The sequence below is a fragment of the Homo sapiens genome, chromosome 6, assembly GCF_000001405.40.
Source record: "Homo sapiens chromosome 6, GRCh38.p14 Primary Assembly".
NCBI lineage: Eukaryota > Metazoa > Chordata > Mammalia > Primates > Hominidae > Homo > Homo sapiens.
This window is the reverse complement of record NC_000006.12, coordinates 118,910,545-118,931,336: the sequence shown is the minus strand read 5'-3', so window position 1 is coordinate 118,931,336 and position 20,792 is coordinate 118,910,545. Positions and strand designations below refer to the sequence as shown.

General features: G+C 38.5%; 1 protein-coding gene across 21 annotated transcripts in view; it reads left to right on the top strand.

The window, feature by feature from the left end:
* Positions 1 to 20,792, top strand: part of MCM9 (minichromosome maintenance 9 homologous recombination repair factor) — a 121,705-nt gene that overhangs the window by 3,823 nt on the left and 97,090 nt on the right. For 8 of the 21 annotated variants that reach the window (NR_165493.1, NM_001378364.1, NM_001378360.1 and 5 more), the window contains 5 exons: positions 7,210 to 7,526; positions 9,251 to 9,332; positions 13,576 to 13,776; positions 17,917 to 18,042; positions 19,568 to 19,687. Coding sequence is in view for 19 of the 21 variants with exons in the window: in NM_001378364.1 (NP_001365293.1) it covers positions 7,210 to 7,526; positions 9,251 to 9,332; positions 13,576 to 13,776; positions 17,917 to 18,042; positions 19,568 to 19,687 (846 nt within the window). In the remaining 2 variants the exon portion in view is untranslated. Of the gene's footprint in view, positions 1 to 2,658; positions 2,750 to 7,209; positions 7,527 to 9,250; positions 9,333 to 10,939; positions 10,990 to 13,381; positions 13,474 to 13,575; positions 14,169 to 17,916; positions 18,043 to 19,567; positions 20,741 to 20,792 lie in introns of those variants that run through there. The other 13 variants (NM_001378362.1, NM_001378361.1, NM_001378363.1 and 10 more) reach the window with 10 other exon arrangements.

The window sequence follows — 20,792 nt, the reverse complement described above, 5'->3', positions numbered from 1 at the left end:
AATTGATATTTATACTTAAAATATATATCTGTTGTGTAGTTGATGGTCACTTCTTTTAGAGCAGAATAATAATTGTGTTCTGTGGGCATGAAGTATGAGTCTTGCCCACTGAGGGGAGGGAGAATGTGTGGAGACAGCAGTATACTTGTGTGTCTATATATTTCCACGTCTGTGTTTAAAAATGTAATTCAAAACAGCTTTATGAGCTTTTGTGGTTACTAACAATAAAGGAACTGGTAATACAAAGAATTAGAAAAGTGATAGATCTTGTCCAGGGATCTTCAGAACTATTTTAGGACATTAGTTATTTTTAAAGATCAGTATTAGCATTGTGCAGTCTACCTACCAGTTACTCGATACATTTTTGTTGAATGCATGACAGATAAAGCATCTTAATTGTTAAGAAACTGCAGTGGAGCAATCAGCAGCTTGGGGTGGCAAAGCTGTATCCTTGAATTCCTGCCTCTAGGAGTCCTTGCCCCTCACTTTCTGTTTTAAAAGTGATTTTTTAGTAGGATGGATAGAGTTGACTTAAGAATTTTAGGGAAAAGTGACACTATAGTGTAACAATTTTTATTTAGTTCATTGCATGGAAGTAATTTCTTGGAAGGCATAGTGTGGCGAAAGAGAAGAATTGGATTTAAAGGCTACACGCCTAACCTGGGAGACTTAGTAAGTTATTTTATCTCACTGAGCCTCAGTTTCTTCACTTGCAAACCACTTCTAGAGTCCCTGTCAACCCCCTAATTAAAACAAAATTTAACTATGCCATTATTGTATAAATTAATAAAGGCTGGTACAAATTAATTCTATTTACATGAAAGAAAGATTTGGTAAAATTAAAAGCAGGTCCAGAATATTGAGGGCAGTCTGTGATTAAGTTGGAGAACATACATACCCTTTTGTTTAAAAATAAATATTTAGCAGCCGGGCGCGGTGGCTCACGCCTGTAATCCCAGCACTTTGGGAGGCCAAGGCGGGCAGATCGCAAGGTCAGGAAATCGAGACCATCCTGGCTAACACGGTGAAACCCCGTCTCTACAAAAAATACAAAAAAAATTAGCCGGGCATGGTGGCGGGCGCCTGTAGTCCCAGCTACTCAGAAGGCTGAGGCAGGAGAATGGTGTGAACCCAGGAGGCGGAGCTTGCAGTGAGCCGAGATCGCGCCATTGCACTCCAGCCTGGGCAACAGAGCGAGACTCCGTCTCAAAAAATAAAATAAAATAAAATAAATAAATAAATAAATAAATATTTACCTTATAGTACATTTGAGAAGAGTGGTGATTTATAATCAATAAGAATGCTTCCTGAATTCCAAAAAGGTTTGGAGTCACTATAGTAGAACTTCTTGGAGGCAAGTTAAGATTCCCAAAAAGACCAAATACTTAATTTAAATGAAAAATATTGTCTGCAGTTACACTTGCTAGGATAAATTATGAAGAGTATTAATCATTATGCATCAGGGTACTAGATAATCTCTTGATGGGATCAAGAAAAAGGGTCCCCCCCATCAGCCTTTTTTAAAAATTAGAGATGGAGTCTCACTCTGTTACCCGGGCTGGTATTAAACTCCCAAGCTCAAGTGATCCTCCTCCTCTGGCCTCCCAAAGTGTTGGGATTATAGATGTGAGCCATCGTGTCTGGCCAATGTTTCCTATTAATAAGTTTGCAAAAGGATTATTAAGGGGGACTTTAGTTAATGTTGTCGAAATGCTATTTAGGAAATAGTTTTAGGCTGCCATTATTTTCAGATACCTTTCCATACTGAGTTTAAGTAATACAATCCTGTCTGCCTAAGTGACCCTATCAGTTTCAGGTGAATTTAGCTTATTTTTTCAATTCTCTGAAAAAGTAAGTTACAAATTATGTTACTACTGAACAAAACATCAGTAGGCATTTGCTAGGATCTTGGGAAACCAAAAAGAATATAGTTTTTCCCTCCTTTAAAAAACTCAGGGCTGTATGGCAGACAGCTATATAGTCAAATATTTACCAGATGGTGTATGCATGCCTACAGATACATGTGTATGTATATATTAAGCATTATTGTATGGGAGCTTAATGGAAACTTTTATGTGTGATGCATGCCTCACTCAAGGTATGTTGTTTTTGTTTTTGAGACAGAGTCTTGCTCTGTTGTCCAGGCTGGAGTCCAGTGATGCAATCTTGTCTCACTGCAACCTCTGCCTCCTGGGTTCAAGCAATCCTCCTGCCTCAGCCTCCCAAGTAGCTGGGATTACAGGCATGTGCCACCATGCCCAGCTAATTTTTGTATTTTTGGTAGAGACAGAGTTTTGCCATGTTGCTCAGGCTGGTCTTGAACTCCTGGCCTCAGGTGATCTGCCCACCTTGGCCTCCCAAAGTGCTGGGATTGCAGGCATGAGCCATGGTGCCCGGCCAGAATTAATGTTTAAATAGCGCTTGCTGTATGCCGAGTAATATTTTCAGAAACTTTACATGTATGAATTCTTTTTTTTTTTTTGAGACAGGGTCTCACTCTGTTGCCCAGGCTGGAATGCAGTTGCACAACAATCATAGCTCACTGCAGTCTCTAACTTCTGGGCTCAAGCGATCCTCCCACCTCAGCCTCCTGGGTAGCTGGGACTACAGGCATGTGCCACCACACTCAGCTATTTAAATTTTTTTTTTTTTTTGTAGAGGTGGGGTCTCTGTGTTGCTCAGGCTGGTCTTGAACTCCTAGCCTCAAGTGATCCTTCTGCTTCAGCCTCCCAAAGTACTGGGATTACAGGTATAAGCTATGAATTCTTCTAGTTTTCTTATTACCCTGTGTGATAGGTTCTGTTGTTATTTTATAGATGAGAAATCTGAGAGGTTACAACTTAGCCAAAGTCACACAGCTAGTAAGTGACAGAGTTGTGACTCAAACCTAAGCATTCTAGCTTGAGTCTGTATTCTTTGTTTTTTTGAGATGGAGTCTCACTCTGTTTCCCAAGCCGGAGTGCACAGGTGCAATCTCGGTTCACTGCAACCTCTGCCTCCCAGGTTCAAGCGATTCTCCTGCCTCAGCCTCCCGAGTAGCTGGGATTACAGGCGTGTGCCACCACACCCGGCTAATTTTTGTATTTTTAGTAGAGACAGGGTTTCACGATGTTGGCCAGCCTGGTTTCGAACTCTTGACCTCAGGTGATCCGCCCACCTCAGCCTCCCCAGTTCTGGGATTACAAGCATGAGCCACCATGCCTGGCCTGAGTCTGTATTCTTAACCACTGCATTGCTTCTTAGTGTGGGCATTTTTGAGGAGCAGAGTGAAGAGGAGAGCACTGAGACAAAGGGAGCACTGTATGTGAAAAAGTGCGCAGAAGTCTTGATAGAACAGGAAGCCAGTCACAAAAGGCCCTATAGTCCAGTCCAGATTTGGTACCTTATTCTTAGATCTGTGGCAAGCCATGGAAGGGTAAAAGCAAAGGAGATTTGGCCTTCATTATGTATTGCTCAGGTTACTCTAGAAGCAATGGGGCATATAGTGTTTTATTCTTCCATTCTAAGATGCTATTTACAGTAAGAAACACTATCAAATTAAAGATAGCTTTCTAGGAATAAAACTACAATTAAATTACACAGCTTTGTTGTTAAACCAGAATTTGTTTTTAAGCCAAAAATAACAAGTGTCTGTCTATACAGTTTATATTATGTAAGACTTCATTGATACATCACTTCATCACATTGAAAATCTAAAGACTTCTCTTTCTTTTCTTGCTTTTTTTTTTTTGAGACAAGAGTTTTGCTCTTGTTGCCCAGTCTGGAGTACAGTGGCACGATCTCGGCTCACTGCAACCTCCGCCTCCCAGGTTCAAGCGATTCTCTTGCCTCACCCTCCCGAGTAGCTGGGATTACAGGCATGCACCACCACACCTGGCTAATTATTTGTATTTTTAGTAGAGATGGGGTTTCTCCATGTTGGTCAGGCTGGTCTCAAACTCCCAACCTCAGGTGATCCACCTGCCTCGGCCTCCCAAAGTGCTGGGATTACAGGCATGAGCCACCACGTCCAGCCAAAAATCCAAAGACTTTTCTAAATTATGCTAGGCAGTCTGTAATCTCATTGGGCATTCTTCAATCATGCATAACGTCAGAGTAACACCACATTTTCTGTAATGTGGTTCTCCTGATCTTAGTTTTTCTTGTTTTAATATACTGACTATATAATTTAAACTGAACAATCAATTTGCATCTGAAGCAGAACTGAGATGAGGGGACTAGAAATGGGAGGCAAAAGTGATATTTCTTTAGGGCCAAGGAAGAGAGAATGAATATTTCAGAAACCCAAAGAATTTTTGTTAAAGCAAATTTTCTTTACCTATTTTTTTTCTATTCTCCTTTTTACCTTCCTTCGTAGAAGTAATTGTTGGTACATTCTGTTTATATTTCGAGAAGCAAATTGGGTTAATTATCATATTTCCCACTCGAGTATCCTTCTGTATATGTACAATAGAGAGTACTTAGTGACTGTTTGCAAACATAAAAATAAAATTATTTAAAAAAATTATTTTAATAACCATGTGACCCAGCAGTTCTACTCCTTAGCTGTATGCCCAAGATAATCGAAAACTGTTCAAACAAGAATTTGCATACAAATGTTTGTAGTTGCATTATTCATAATAGCCAAAAAGTGGAAACAACCTAAATGTCCATCAACTAATAAATGAATAAACAAAATACGGTATATCTAAACAGTGGAATATTATTTAGTCATAAAAAGAGTGAAGTACTGTATATGTTACAACAGGAATGAATCTTGAAAACATTATTCTAAGTAAATAAAGCCAGATTCAAAAGACCACATATTGTATGATTTTGTTCAGATATCCCTGACTTACATTTTTTGACTTTATGAGTATGCGAAAGTGATTCAGTAGAAATTATACTTTGAGCACCCATAAATTATTCTGTTTGTCACTTTTAGTGTAGTATTCAATAAATAACATGAAATAGTCAACACTTAATTATAAAATAGGCCTTGTGTTAGATTATTTTGCCCAACTGTAGGCTAATGTTAGTATTCTGAGTATGTTCAAGGTAGGCTAGGTAGGCTAAGCTATGATGTTCAGTGGGTTAGGTGTACTAAATGCACTTTCAACTTACAACATTTTCAATTTACGATGGGTTTATTGAGATGTAGCCCCATTGTAAGTCACGGAGCATCTACGTGTGAAATTTCCAGAATAGGTAAATTCATGAAGACCAAAAGTAGATCAATGGTTGCCAGCAGCTAGGGTTATGGAAGAATGGGGAGTGACTGCTACTGGGTACAGGGTTTCTTTTTGAAATTATGAAAATATTCTGGAATTAGTGGTGATGGTTATACAATATTGTGAATATACTAATTACCACTGAATTGTCTACTTTATAGGGTAAATTTTATGGCATGTGAATTATATCTTGCTTTTTTTTAAGTATTCATATTTTTTTTAAAGTATTCATGTAGGGAGCAAAATAAATGTAACTGAGAATCTACAAGCAGTGTTAAGATGTATTACAATATATATTCCAGTTAAGGCCAGGTAAACAAGAGAGAGAGATTTCTGGGCTGTTTCTTGTTTTTTAACATTCTAGGATATGAACGAAAAGTGTGTCTCCCTTAATGGCAAAATGTGATGCAATCTGAATTAATGTAAATAATGAATATGTTCATTAGAAAATGGGCAAGTCAGTCTTAGAAGCATAGAAAAAAGAGTCATAGGGGCAAATGTTGGCAATGGCCACCTTGTTTGTCTATACACTCTACAGTGTATGGAGAGAGAATTTCAGCCAACCAACAGAGAAAATTCAAGTCTATCTGTAGACTTGTAACCTGTAACAGTAGGTTAACATAGCCTGGCACCTTAAACATTCAGTTACTCTAATTTGCTTTTTCCCCTCATACTTCCTAAACTACCTTCTGATTGGCTTTCAGAATAGATGTATCAACTAGGAGAAAATATGCTGACCATAGAAACTTAAGGTATAATGATTCCTATTATGGCATTTCTCATGGGCTGGACAATCTGATGGATGGGCCTTCAGTAGGCGTACCTACCTGGTTTTTGAACCGCTAAATACTGAGGACAAGACAGGAGACATGAACCGGCATAACAGTTGCTATTTCAATAAACCTGTTAGGAATTAGCCTTTATAGCCAGCATCTTTCCACCCCAATGGTGCATTGTAGCCAAACATGAGAAAAAGGGAATTTCCACATAAGATTTTCCTCCTCCCCTCCTCTCCCCTTTTCCCCCTCTTTTTCTCTTTCTCCTTCCCTCCTTCCTTCCTCCCTCCCTGTCTTTCTTTTTTTTTGGACAGGGTCTTCCTCTGTTCCCCAAACTGGAGTTCAGTGGAGTGACCATGGTTACTGTAGCCTTGACCCCCTGGGCTCAAGAGATCCTCCCACTTCAGCCCTACCGAGTTGCTGGGGCTATAGGCATGCACCACCATGCCCAGCTGATTTTTTAATTTTTTATAGGGATGGGGTCCCACTATGTTGCCCAGGCTAGTCTTGAACTCCTGGGCCCCAGCGGTTCTCCTACCTTGGCTTCCCAAGTGTGAGCCACGGTGCCCAGCCTGAGTAAGAATTTTCTTTGGCATTTTGCACCTTTTCTGTTGCCTGTTTTTTAATGTTGAAAAACACAAGGCTTTTATAGGATAAGGTGATGCTGCGGGTAAACCGCTAGGTAAGTCAGGGCTCAAAAACACTGTCATATTTATGTATTAATAAATTCTGAGTCTGACTGAAAAAGTAACTTTCTAGCGCTGTGGAACTCTGTGGTCGTCATGCTACCATCTCTTTATCGGTCTGCTGCGTGATTTACTAAAATAATCATCAGTTGATTTTATCTGTGGCAAGTGGCAATATATTTTTTGTTAAATGCCGTTAAAATTATATACTTTAGATCCTACTGAGATAGCCCTCTTGTGAGAATAAGTCCTTTTTAAAATCCTGGTTATTATAACTTCTAGCTATTTGCTTTAAAACATGGTCTACTCATTGTGCAGTATCTGGATTAAAAAAAAACTCTACTGATAACTGTTATTTGCAATAATTCTTTATATTTTCTTAATAGAGTTGATGATCTGATTTTTTCTTAGTAAAACACAATCTTTTTTTTCCCCCTGAAATTAAAATTTATCTTTCAGGAAATAGGAGAAGAATATATCCCTTGGAGTCAAATCTCAAGATTGAAGTTGATGCTGTTTTTTTGTTTTCTCCATCAGGTTTGCCTGTCTGTCCTGAGCTGGTGAGGGAACACATACCTAAAACCAAGGATGTGGGACACTTTTTATCTGTCACTGGGACAGTGATTCGAACAAGTCTGGTGAAGGTTCTGGAGTTTGAGCGGGATTACATGTGTAACAAATGCAAGCATGTGTTTGTGATCAAGGCTGACTTTGAGCAGTATTACACCTTTTGCCGGCCATCCTCGTGTCCCAGCTTGGAGAGCTGTGATTCCTCTAAATTCACTTGCCTCTCAGGCTTGTCTTCGTCTCCAACCAGGTGTAGAGATTACCAGGAAATCAAAATTCAGGAACAGGTAAATAATCACATAAACGAGATAAATAAATTTGAAGAAGTGTTTTTCAGCTATGGGCACATTGGGAGGATTAGGGAACACAGAATGGATACAAATGTACTTGTGTTGTCACTTTGTGGAAGATCAAGCTCGAAACTGTTCCACATATATCTGAATATAGTCTTTAGAAACCATGCAATCATCCTTTTTAGGTGGAACATTGACAAGAAAGTAGTGAAATGACTTAATTATATTAAAATTAAAGAAGTGAATATTTAAGAAGTCCACCCTAGCTGTTCTTAACTGAAGAATAGAAGAAAATTAATGTTCTTAGCTAAGGGATAGAAGATTAATTAATGCTTAAATGGTTAAACATTGGAGTGGCCAGGCATGGTGGCTTGTGCTTATAATCGCAGCTACTCAGGAAGCTGAGGCAGGAAGATCACTTGAACCAAGGAGTTCTGGGTGGCAGTGAGCTATGGATCATGCATCTGCATTCTAGCCTGGTTGACAGAGCGAGACCCTGTCTCTGAAAAAAAAAAAAAATCACATTGGAGTGAACAAGATATGGAGTTTGGACCCACTCTTATTTGCTGTGCTAAATGAAGTATTTGTAAACACTCTTTAACAAGTAAGAGTGAGCCTGATTTTCATTTGCTCGCAGCTTAAACACAAAGGTTTATTCTTACCTAAAATAATTAAGAGATAGGCAGTTCAAGGCTAGTTCACTGTTGAGAACTCAGACTCCTGTCTTTCTATTCAACCATTCTTTTCTTTGCTTTTTTTTTTTTTTTTTTTTTTTGAGATGGAGTTTCACTGTTGCCCAGGCTGGAGTGCAATGGTGTGATCTTGACTCACTGTAACCTCTACCTCCTGGGTTCAAGCATTTCTCCTGTCTTAGCCTCCCGAGTAGCTGGGATTACGGGCGTGTGCCACCTCGCCTGGCTAATTCTGTATTTTTAGTAGAGACAGGGTTTCACGATGTTGGTCAGACTGGTCTCAAACCCTCTAACCTCAGGTGATCCACCCACCTCGGCCTCCCAAAGTGCTGGGATTACAGATGTGAGCCACCACACCCGGCCTCAACCATTCTTAATACATGGCTTCTCTTCTGATGATTGGCTGTGGGCCAGGATGCTGGCTACAACTCCATCACATGTGTGTTGTAGTCAGAGAACAATAGGCAAAAGTGCCTACCACCTAACCAATTCTCCACTTAAGAAGTCTCTTGCATTGTCTGCTTATGATATCTCATTGGTCAGAGTTCTATCATATGACCATACCTATGTTCAATGTTCAAGGGAGCCTGGGAAATACAGTCTTTGTATTAGGCGCATGTCCACATGGAATAAAACTAGGGTTCTGTTACTAAGGAGTAATCATAGGGACTGGGTGATTTGTCCCAGGTCTTTTGATTAGCGATCAGGAAAGAAATACCCCTCTTTTCTAGATAAAGTTAACTTTGTTATTAAATTTAGTAGTTGGAGCATACGTTTACTTTGACCACCCGCAAGGTAGATTATATAGATCATATTTGGAGATATTTTCCATATGTGTATTTTATTTAGTGAATTCTTAAATTGATAGTAGACATAGTTTTCAAGAAAAATTACTTAAATCCCCATTATAATTAAATCGTATGATATACCAGAGAAATAAAAATAGTAATTTCAAGTACTGCTAGACTTCTGGATACTTAACATGTATTTAAGCATACTCAGAATCTGTTTTCTTTTCTTTGCTAGGTTCAAAGGCTATCTGTTGGAAGTATTCCACGATCTATGAAGGTTATTCTGGAAGATGACTTAGTGGATAGTTGCAAATCTGGTAAGAAGAGGGGAATTTTTTTTTAGCTTGTGTAGGTAGTCCTAAAGTATTGATTAGGAAAAGCCACTTTTTATTTTCCCAAGATCACTGGCAAGGGAAATGTAGAGCTGTAATTGCTCACCTTGAGATTAGAAACTGGCAGGTGGGAAGTGATAGCAGGAAGAGAGCTGGGCTAGATCTATACAACAGCAGCTAGTCCAGGTGCTTGTTTTATGAATGAAGAACCTGACTTGTCTAAGGTCACTTAGAGAGTTAAGTGGCATAACTGGAACATGAATCCAGAACCACTGATGTCTAATTTAAGGCTCTTTTCAGTGCACTATAGCTTAACAGCAGGAACTTTAAAAAATGTAGTGAATTTAATGGGTATTTTTATAAAATGAATTAGAGAATGTGACTCTGTTAAATGCTGCTGCGTGTCTTATTGGTGCCTAGAAGAAAGGACATCATTCCTCTCTGCTCTGTGCTGGTGACACCGTGATTGGAGTCACTGATTGTAGTCTGCTGTCTTCTGAGGGTCCTCAATGTTTTCATTGGCCGATACCTGAATTGGGAGGGTACTTGAAACCCATACTCAATGAAGAACTATACATGGTTAGCATGGAGAACCCTGAGGAAGGACATGACAGCCAACTTTCAATAGTTAGAAGACTGTCACATAGAAATAGAATTGTAATTACAGAAGTTGCTGTTGGGTTTCAGTGGGGTAAGCCACAAGGAGGTAGATTTTGACTCAATACCTAATAATTAGAGGTGTCTAACATGGGCCTTAGATGGTGATGAGTTCTTTTTCTCATAGACAATCAAGCACAGCATATACAGTACATTGTTAGGGATTTAGGCCCTACAGTGGCAGTTGATCTGGATAATAATCTGCAATGTTCCAGGCAATTTAAAGACTTTCTGAGCCTCAGAACTGTTCTGGAAATCTGAGAGTTCCGAAAGCCTGATTGTTCCAGTGTCATTCTGAGCTTATGCTTTACTCTTTAGGCTAACCAGACTGGTCCTGAGTTCTCCTTTGTCCCTGTCAACTCATCATGTTCCCTCTCCTCACTGGGGAGACTAAGAAGAAATCAAACTTAAAAGTATTTGTGGAAGGGTGATGTTTTAGTCATTTTGGGCTGTTAGTCCATTCTTGCGTTGCTATAAAGAAATACCTGGGACGGGGCAATTTATAAAGAAAAGAGGTTTAATTGGCTCACAGTTCCACAGGCTGTACAGGAAGCATGGTGCAGACATAGGCTCAGCTTCTTCTGAGGCATCAGGAAGTTTACAATCATGGCAGAAGGGAGAGGGGGAGCAGGCACATGACATGGTAAAAGCAGGAGCAAGAGTGGGGAGGGAGGAGGTGCCACACACATTTAAATGAACAGAGCTCATTCAAACTCAGAGTGAGAGCTCCTTTATCACCAAAAGGGTGGCCCAAGCCATTCATGAGGGATCCACCTGCATGATCCAGACACCTCCTACCAGGCATCTCCTCCAATACTAGGGATTATATCTCAACATGAGATTTGAATGGGGACAATTATCCAAACTATATCAGGCTGCTCTAACAAATCACCATAGACTAGGTGGGTTCAACAACAAATATTTATTTCTCACAGTTTTGGAGGCTGGAGGTTGGAGATCAGGATGCCAGTGTCTTCGGATTCTGGTGAGGGACCTCTTCTAGGTTTCAGATAGCCGACGTATATTAACGTACAGTTGTGTAAATAGTATACTAATGAGATAACAGCTTTGATTATGGATTGCCTGCTAAGCAACCCCAGAATATGTCAAAATACCTTGCTCATATAGGACTAGATTTTAACCTAAATCTGTAATATCTGTCTCAGCAATGCAGTTCTTATATAAGCTCAGCCTGAACATGAAAATATCCATCAATTGAGAATAAGATCTTTTCATGCAGTTCATCTAAACTGAATTCTTTCTGTACTGGAAATAAGTCTTAAGTTGTTTTTCTTTCAAATGTCATTAATAATGAAGGATGGATAGAAGCAATCTATCAACAGCTATTTTTTCATGTATCATTAGCTATAAACCTCTGTGGGAATCAAAAGACAAATAGTATATAATCCTTGCCCTTCAGGAATTTACGATCTAGTTAGGAACCCCACTTTGGCACATGCAGAGTAATGAAGTTGGAGGGTGTGTGCTGGTAAATGTCAGTGCCACAGGAGATCCGAGAGATGGGTCTGACTGGCAATGGCTACAGTAGTAAAGATGCCGCAGATGATATAGGGGCACAGAGAGACTGGATTGTAGAAAAGTAAGAATTTTAGCTTCCTGAAAATAACATTGCTTATAACATTAGTTTTGAAAAATACAGAAGTTTAAGGTGAATATCTGTTGTCTTGGACTATCATGTATACCTCACAATTGTTCTGGTGATTATATGAATCTGCCATTCAGTAATTATTTGAGTAAAGAAAACACGTATATATTGAAGGGCTTTTAAAGGTATTAATTACTTTACAAATGTAAGGTAGGTTTAGTATAAGAAGAGCTAATATTTACTGAGCACTTGCCGTCTTCTAGATACTGCATTAAGTAATTTACGTACATTATCCGATCTAATTCTCATTATAGTACTGTGATGTAAATATAATCATTCACATTTTGTAGTTCAAGAAACAGGCTTAGGAAAGGTAGGTAATTTGCCCAAGGTCACGTAGCCTATGGGCAGTGGAGCTGGGATTTAAATCCAAATCTGATGAGGTCAGTACTCTTGGCCATGCTTCAGTGCTCTGTATTTTCCACATAATCACTGCTTATTGACATTAGATTATTACTTACGGGTCATATATCTAAACATTAAGTTCCTCATTTAACTAGTTTAGAAACAACCTAAACATAATCCATTAAAATGACCATAATAGAGAATTGTTCCATGTCCTTATGTAAAGTTGCCCCCAATCATTTTTACCTAGAAATTTGGGGTCAGACAATATAGTAAATGATCATCATTCCTGATTGGGTTTGAAAATCATTAAGTAGTGGCTTAGGAAAGATCTTGGAAACTTGTAAAGCACTTACTTAATGTGTTTGTAACTATGTAGTATGAAGTTGCCTTAAACTAGAAATGTGCCTTCTATTCTGTGGATTGGCACCACCAGTTCCATGAATTTAGCATTTTCCTTTAGGAAATCAAAAGCTATGCAGATTACTCATTGAAATTTAGAGAGTGAAAGGCATTTTTCATCAGCACATATCATATAATTGGCACAAAGGCTTGGAAATGAAGAATTGCCTGTTAGTTCTGAGACAGTGTTTATTATGCAAAATATAAATACCAGAATTGGGGTTGGGGCACATCCAACACCCTGTGTTCAACAAGATTAAAATTTGGGGGGACCAGGATTATGATTTTTTTCATGTTTGTTTTTGGCCCACTTTCTCCAGTACCAAAATATGGAAGGCCAAACATTTGTATATACTTGTTAACTGATGCATTGCATTGTATGTCGTAACAAGTACAGATGGCAGTGTTTGGCGAGTGTGCCTATAAACTACCCAGGGCCTCTTAGGAAAATCTATAAAAGTTGCTTCTGCCTACCAGGAATGGTGGGAGGGTTTCCTCAGGTAGGAGAGAACCATCAGCAAGGAACAAGCAGGATTGTATCTTGTGCTTTTATATTTTGTGGGAAGGAACTTTGAAGCATAACAGGCATTTATTCATTTCTTAGTTCATTGTTTCTTTGGTTCACTAAAAAAGATGTGGGGGGGCAGTGAGTAAAATATTAGCAAATGAGTTAAGTAAAAATGAACATGTAAGAAACCCAAACTACCTGCCAGTCATCACAAGGTTATCTCTTTTCCTGACTCCAAATTATAGTTTAACCTTCTGGCTGCAGTTCCCACATCTCTTCTCTAAATGAGAGCTAAATGGTTAGAGACTCAGAGGATGAACATTTCATCCAATGTAACTGTGATGAATGAATCATCCAGTAAACTATTTTCCCAGTGAAAAGTAATAATTTTGTAGGATTATCATGTAGCAGGTTATGAAAAATAGGAAATACTGACTTCAGCTTTTCACTTTACAGATACATGACTGTGGGGGACAACAGTCAAGAATCTGGGGTGCTATTCTGCCCCTGAATTGTTTTCTGGATGAGTGTACATATTGTAAACTCTAGTAAGGGAGTGGTTTATTTCTAATTTCTGGTCCTTTGTCATTTTGAGTCTGTGCTCAGCATGCAGGATGCTACTGCTGGACTCACTTGATGCTTTTTCCTAGGTGATGACCTCACTATTTACGGGATTGTAATGCAACGGTGGAAGCCCTTTCAGCAAGATGTGCGCTGTGAAGTGGAGATAGTCCTGAAAGCAAATTACATCCAAGTAAATAATGAGCAGTCCTCAGGGATCATCATGGATGAGGAGGTCCAAAAGGAATTCGAAGATTTTTGGGAATACTATAAGAGCGATCCCTTTGCAGGTTTGTGTTTAAGGGCTAAAACTGATTATTATTAATGGTATTACATTCAGTGGTTAAATATGATGTCTGTGATTTGACAGTCTTATATGCCGCATAACTCAATGACTGAGTTTAAAGGGTAGGATTAGTCATTACCTCTAGCTATAGTCTCCCTTTGAAGCCTTTTTCTGCCATACTCTTCTATTTAGCAACCTGCCTGGAGATATTTCATTTCTAACTATTATTTTAAACACCTTATACACTGCCAAAACAATTTCAGAGTTTCCTATCATATCAATTAAAAATATAGTTCTTTAAAAAGGCAAAACTCATCCTTTTATGAACCCTCATCCTATTAAAGCCATTGTTTTTCTTTGATGTATTTTCAATAATAAAGATCTAACTCTACACTATTTTGGCTGAAGATTTTAAAACAGGGAATAACTAGGAAAAAGATGAGAGAAGATGCAGACGATAAGCTTTGTCATCACAAGCAAAAATTTTGACTGTGACATTCAGGTGTAATTACATAGAATAAAACATCACAGCCATTGGGTTTGTAGTGTATTTTATTAAAAAATCTCAAGTGTGTAAAGCACCAATTAAATCTTCAAGTGCCTGTTTTCATTTCTCCATGGAGACATCTTTTGAGAAAAATAAACTGAAGCCAGTAATAGACGTTTCTAATAACACTCCCCTCAAATCTAAGAGATATTGATTACTTTATTCTTAAATCACATGCTAAATTAGATAGATATTATTTTAAAAAATAAGGCTTCTAGCTGGGCATGGTGGCTCACGCCTGTAATCCCAGCACTTGGAGAGGCCAAGGTGGGTGGGTCACTTGAGGTCAGGAGTTTGAAACCAGCCTGGCCAACATGGTGAAACCCTGTCTCTATTAAAAATACAAAAATTAGCCAGGTGTGGTGGCGTTGTCTCTATTAAAAATACAAAAATTAGCCAGGTGTGGTGGCGTGCACCTGTAGTCCCAGCAACTTGTGAGGGTGAGACAGGAGAATCACTTGAGCCCGGGAGGCAGAGGTTGCAATGAGCCAAGATCGCGCCACTGCAGACCAGCCTGGGCGACAGAGTGAGACTCTGTCTCATAATAATAATAATAATAATAATAATAATAATAATAATAATAATGCTTCCATTTCCCTAAATAGGGATAGTTTTATTTTATGGGATTTTTTCTTTTTTCTTTTTTTTTTGTGTGTGTGTGTAAATGTATAGCACATTAGTAGTTCCTGATCTTTCTTTTTTCTGATCTGTATTGAAAGAAGCAAAAGTTCTCTACATTATAGATTTATGAAGCAGGCACTTTAAGAATCATACATTTTTAAATGATTTTTAAAATTAAAATGGTTTCTTTTTTTTTTTTTAAAGTAGACAGGGTTCTCACTATGCTATGTTTCCCAGGCTGGTCTTGAACTCCTAGGCTCAAGCGATCCTCACACTTCCGTCTCCCAAAGTGCTGAGATTACACTGTGCCCAGCCTGAACAGCCTGAAAATGGTTTCTTAGGATTCTATCCTTATAAAAATTTGTAACTCTTCCTTGGACCACTGTTATTTATTTATTTATTACAGTGTCACAGCTCAGTTCTACCTCTTAACAATGAAGGGAAGGCCATCATATGGTACTCTAACTAGATCTTCAGACGTGCTTTGTGCTGGCAATTAAAGAATCTGTCTTGTTTTAATTAGGCTACTGTTGCATGAGCCATTTATTGGATAAAAGGCAGAAGTAAATATAATAGTCTTGTGAGAAATATAAGTAGGAAGATAGCAAGAAAATAAGGCAGTGTTTCTCTTGTTAGTATGAATGGATTCTCAGTTTCCTATGGACCAGCACCAGTGTACTGGTATTCCTCCATTTCAGAGTGTTGGTGAGTGTGTTGGAGGGAGGAGAGGTGAAGTTGGGAAGCTGTATCCAACAGAACATCTTCATTTTGCTGGTCTAAAGCTGGAGAATGCTTCACTGATCAGCACTTGGAGGTTGACTTGCTTAAGACCTGATCCTGTGGGTACTGGCTAGGATGAACCTAGGGGCCTTATTCTGATCTGCTGTCACCTGAGGGATTCCTTGACCCTGGTGCTTAGATGTTAGAAACCCAGATGTAAGGGTTGGAGTGTTTTGGGCCATCTGAACCCTCTTTGGGGGTCACTGACTTATCTTAATTCTGAGATTACTAAGGGCCTACTAAGTTCTCTTCATTGAGATAACTGAGGGCCACACAAGAGTAGATAACTAGGCCTTTGCCACACTATTGACATGGTCTAGAACTAGAAATTTGGGAGGGAGGTGAGGATGGGGGTAGTACTGGTGCTAATGCATTTTCTTCCATGATATAGCCATGAGATCTTCTGCTGCCATGATCTAAGGAATCAAGCTTTTCAACTTAGACAACACATTTGGCCCTTCCTTTTTGCTTCTCTCTGGGACCCCAGTCCTACCTTTGTAGTCTTTTGTGTTGACCACAGTGTGAGGAAATCTTTAGATCAGAAAGATGCACAAATAATACAGGTAATAAAATAGCTAACAGTTACAGTTAAGTAGTTCCCACTATATGCCAGTTATTATTTAATGTGTTGTATACTTACTAACTCCCTTGATTCTCAACAATTCTGTCTTGATACCATTATAATCTCCATTTTGCAGACAAGAAATGGAGGCAGAGGTTAAGAAACTTGCCTAAGGTCAGACAGTTGGTAATTAATAGCACTGGGATTTGAATCCAAACATGACACCAGAGCCTGTCCTCTTACCACAGGGATATGCTTCCCATCAGCATGTTACTCAGTAAAATTGGCTCTAAGTTTTGGCTTATGTAATTCCCAGATCAATTTGCCTACTCTTGAACCTGTTTGTTGGGGCTGTTTCTTCTTTCCTTCCACATGTAATCACTAGATTCTGGTCACAATTTACCTACCTGCTGTCAAGTCTTATCTGCTTGGATTCCTGACCTTTTCTCCAGGCTTTCTAACTCCAAACAGGGAGGGATTCCTTCAGCAAGTAATGAACTTCCTGGATTTACTAAATCTTCTGGTTCCTTTTTTACTAAAAGATTTTCTTTCTTCACCATTTCTGCCATCGCAGGCCACATCATCATAGATTAGTTGCCACTGAATCAATGTTGATTCATTACAAAAAGTAGCCTTTGTGTATAGGGCCATAAGTCGTGGAAAGGCTCAGGAATGGCTTGTTGGAATTCCATAGGTTGGTTAGGCCAATGACTGAATGAAATACCTGCTTTATTCATGGAAGAGATAGGCAGATTCTCAGATTTGGTGCGTTATTTCTGAAAACAGAACCCCAAACAGTGATGTTCTTTTATTTAAAGCACATGATCAGAAGAATTCGAGATCTCATACTTACACTGCTAGGGTTGTGGTGTGCAGTGATCTTCTTAATGCCTTGATGCCCCTGTAACTTTGTTCCAGAGAAAACAGAATTTACCAGACTGCTCAGAGCAAATGCTGAATTGACTTGGAGGGTGGATTTTTTACTTATTTCTTATACCTTTGGAGCAGCTTCATGAGCTCCAGCTACCTCTGTATTTAAAGATTACTGACTTGTATGATCTGACTCATTATTTCTGAGATTGAATACCTTCCTTTTATTTAGGCAGTGGAGTAATTTTACTGAAATTGTCACATAGAAAGTACATACGGTGGCTCATACCACTCATGAGTGCTGGGTGGTAATCCCAGCACTTTGGGAGGCTGATATGAAAGGATTGCTTGAGCCCAGGAGTGAGACCAGCCTGGGCAACATAGTGAGACCACGTTGCTCCAAAAAAGAAAAAAAACATTAGCTGGGCGTGGTGCTGCACACCTGCTGTCCCAACTACTCAGGAGGCTGAGGCAGAAGGATTGCTTGAGCCCAGGAGTTTGAGGCTGCAATGAGCTATGATCACGCCACTGCACTCCAGCCTAGGTGACAGAGTGAGACCCTGTCTCAAAAAAACAGGACATTTTGAACCAAAACAAAGTTATTTCCTCCTTTAATCCTGTTGGTCATTTGGAATTGGACCTCCTGATCACTTCACATAGTAGAGTATATTTAAATGAGGATGGTCAGATAGGAAAGGAAGGGAAATTTCAGTTGGGGTTTCTTGAAAATTATTGCTGATTTCTGATCTTTCTGCTTTTCCTAGGAAGGAATGTAATATTGGCTAGCTTGTGCCCTCAAGTGTTTGGAATGTATCTAGTAAAGCTTGCTGTGGCCATGGTGCTGGCTGGTGGGATTCAAAGGACTGATGCTACAGGAACACGGGTCAGAGGTTAGTACCTATTTAGAAATTTTGAGTAATATTGACACATGGATGGAAGCTAGAACTTTTTCTTTCCCAAATAAAAACTGCTCGTTGGGTTTTATTTTCCAATTGTAATCTTATAAAACTGACAGTTGTCTGAATATCTTATACTTAGTCTAGCATCTGTATATCAGAAGCTACTTTCTAGAGTTCCAGAAAGACTGAAAGAAGTTACATTTTTCTATGGCATATACTTTTGCTATAGCCTATAAGGATGCCACAAAATAAAATCTTTGTTTCTATTACTGTGTTTTTTGTTGGATCCCCGGTCTGTTTTCAAAAGGAAAAAGATTAGAAATAGTGTATTTTAATGTCTCCAGTCAGCGTCTCTCCATCTGTGGCTGTCACTGTGTTTCTCTTAGACTGCTGCTTTCAGTCATCTGCCTGCTGATTCTCCTTCTGCTGGTAGATAGCAAATGTGCCATCTGCCATGGGGTGCTGCTGCAGGTCACACCTTCAAGAAAAGATTACTCTTAAGTGTATAATTATGTCCAGATGGCAGAAAGCTCTTTTGCAGCTAACACACTTAACCAGAGTCTGGCATACGGGTTATTACGGCCCTGTACGTGGGCCATAATAACCAAAAATTAAACCAAAAGACTAAAAGGGCATTGTTATAAATCAGGCTGTTAGTAGGGACTCGAAAACCATATAGTACAGTATAGAATAGTAAGTATAAGGCGTCCTTATATGTTTTGATCACCTACTGTTTTGCAAGGCACTCTGCCAAATGTTGAGCTTAAATAGGGGTTTCCTATTAATGTATTTAGGAAACACTTGAGAATTGCTGAAGAAACTTGGTCAGTGAAATCATATGTACCATAGGATATGCACGTTATTTATGTTACATTTGCAAAATGAGTACTTATTTTAAGATACATATTTCACTAAGTTACTAAAATTTTCATAAATGAAAAGGTCTTCACTTAACTGTTAGAATCATAATTTGATATTTGTAAAGTACTTGTAAAATCCCTAATACTTCTAAGTGCTTAAATAAAAATAGAATAAAATACTTATATGACTTGTATGCAAGGATTTAATCATAGTAGTTTGATATTTAAAAATAGAGTAAATCAGAAACTTTATAAGCCAAAAATTTTTTGTTTGTTTTTGTAGACATGGAGTCTTGCCCAGGCTGGTCTCACATTTCCGGGCTCAAGTGACCCTCCTGCCTTGGCCTCCCAAATGCTGGGATTACAAGTGTGAGCCACCGCACCTGGCCCCAGATATTTTTTAAAATGTTAAACATAGGCCTGAACATCTGGAAATAGCACATAATTTATTAATAGAATTTAGATTCTATGTCACATTGAGTAATCAATTAAGGACTGTTTATGACAGTTAACTTTCTGAAGATTTTCTAGTTAAATCCTTTCTCAAACGACCCTATGTAAAAGTACACAGTAAAAACACTATGTAATATTTTGTTGGCATTCCAAATGGACCCTTTTATAGAAATTTAAAACTTCATGTATTTGCTTTTTCCTAGGAGAATCTCATCTTTTATTGGTTGGGGATCCTGGCACAGGGAAATCTCAGTTCCTCAAATATGCAGCAAAGATTACACCAAGATCTGTGCTGACCACAGGAATTGGATCTACTAGTGCAGGTATTGTATGTGACAATTTCAAGTAATTTAACATTACTTCAGAAGTTAACACAATGGTTTTTTCTAATGAAAAACTACCTATAATAGGATAAATTTCAAGCTAATTTTTGAGTTACCACTAAAAATGGAAGGAAATATGCAATGTTATTTTGGTAGCTCTAAGAAAATATCTTGCAAGCTCCACCTTCACTTTGCATCTTAGTTTTGAACAATCCTATTCAATTTTCTCATTCTCTAGTGATTACCTTCATACTTTTATGCAGGAAAAAGTCCGTATCATCTGGCATTTTATCAAGACTCAGCAACTGGAATGTTAAACTAAAGAGGGGGATATTTCACTTTACCAAGTAGATAGATGGTATAGAGCTTAAGGCATTTTCATGCTCATAAATCTGATAGGCAACAGTAGCTCCTACTGAAATTTCTTAGGTAGGGAATGTTTATTAATATTTGGAAAATATACTTCCATCATTGCAATGTGGAGCTTCATTCATAAGTTGTAATGATTCTTTAGCAAGTACACTTAAAAGCCTTTGCAGGTAGAATGTCAAGATTTGATTATAAATAAAGTGACCCAGGGAATTTAGAAAAAAATTATTTTAAAAAATATGTTTGATGCTATTTTGTATTTTTACAGTTTTGATTGGGTAATGTTTCTGTTCTTCTGAAAACAGACCCTTGGCTTCACACATTTTAAAAATGTTTGCTACTTGTTAAGGGAGTCAGATTAACTTCCATTGGGCTAATGAATGCTCAAATTTCTAATGAGAAACTAACACTTTAAAATTTATCATACAACAGAAAATGGCCAATTAATGGTCCTGTATAAGTGGAAAACTGTTAAGGAGGTCTCAGGTTTTGAAATATAACTCAACAGTATATTAACCATTGACAAGAATGGATTTTTGGAATTGAGAAGGGTAGACAAACTTCAGGATACTAGGCAAGAATATATAAAGAATATTTCCCATGCGTTTTAAATCCGTATGACCCAGTGTTCTAGAGTTCTGTATAAAATGATACCAACAACAAATAAAGATGCTTCCCAAGTAATTATGTGGAATGTTTCCTAAGTAATTATGTAGAGTGTCAAGAAATGAGTCCA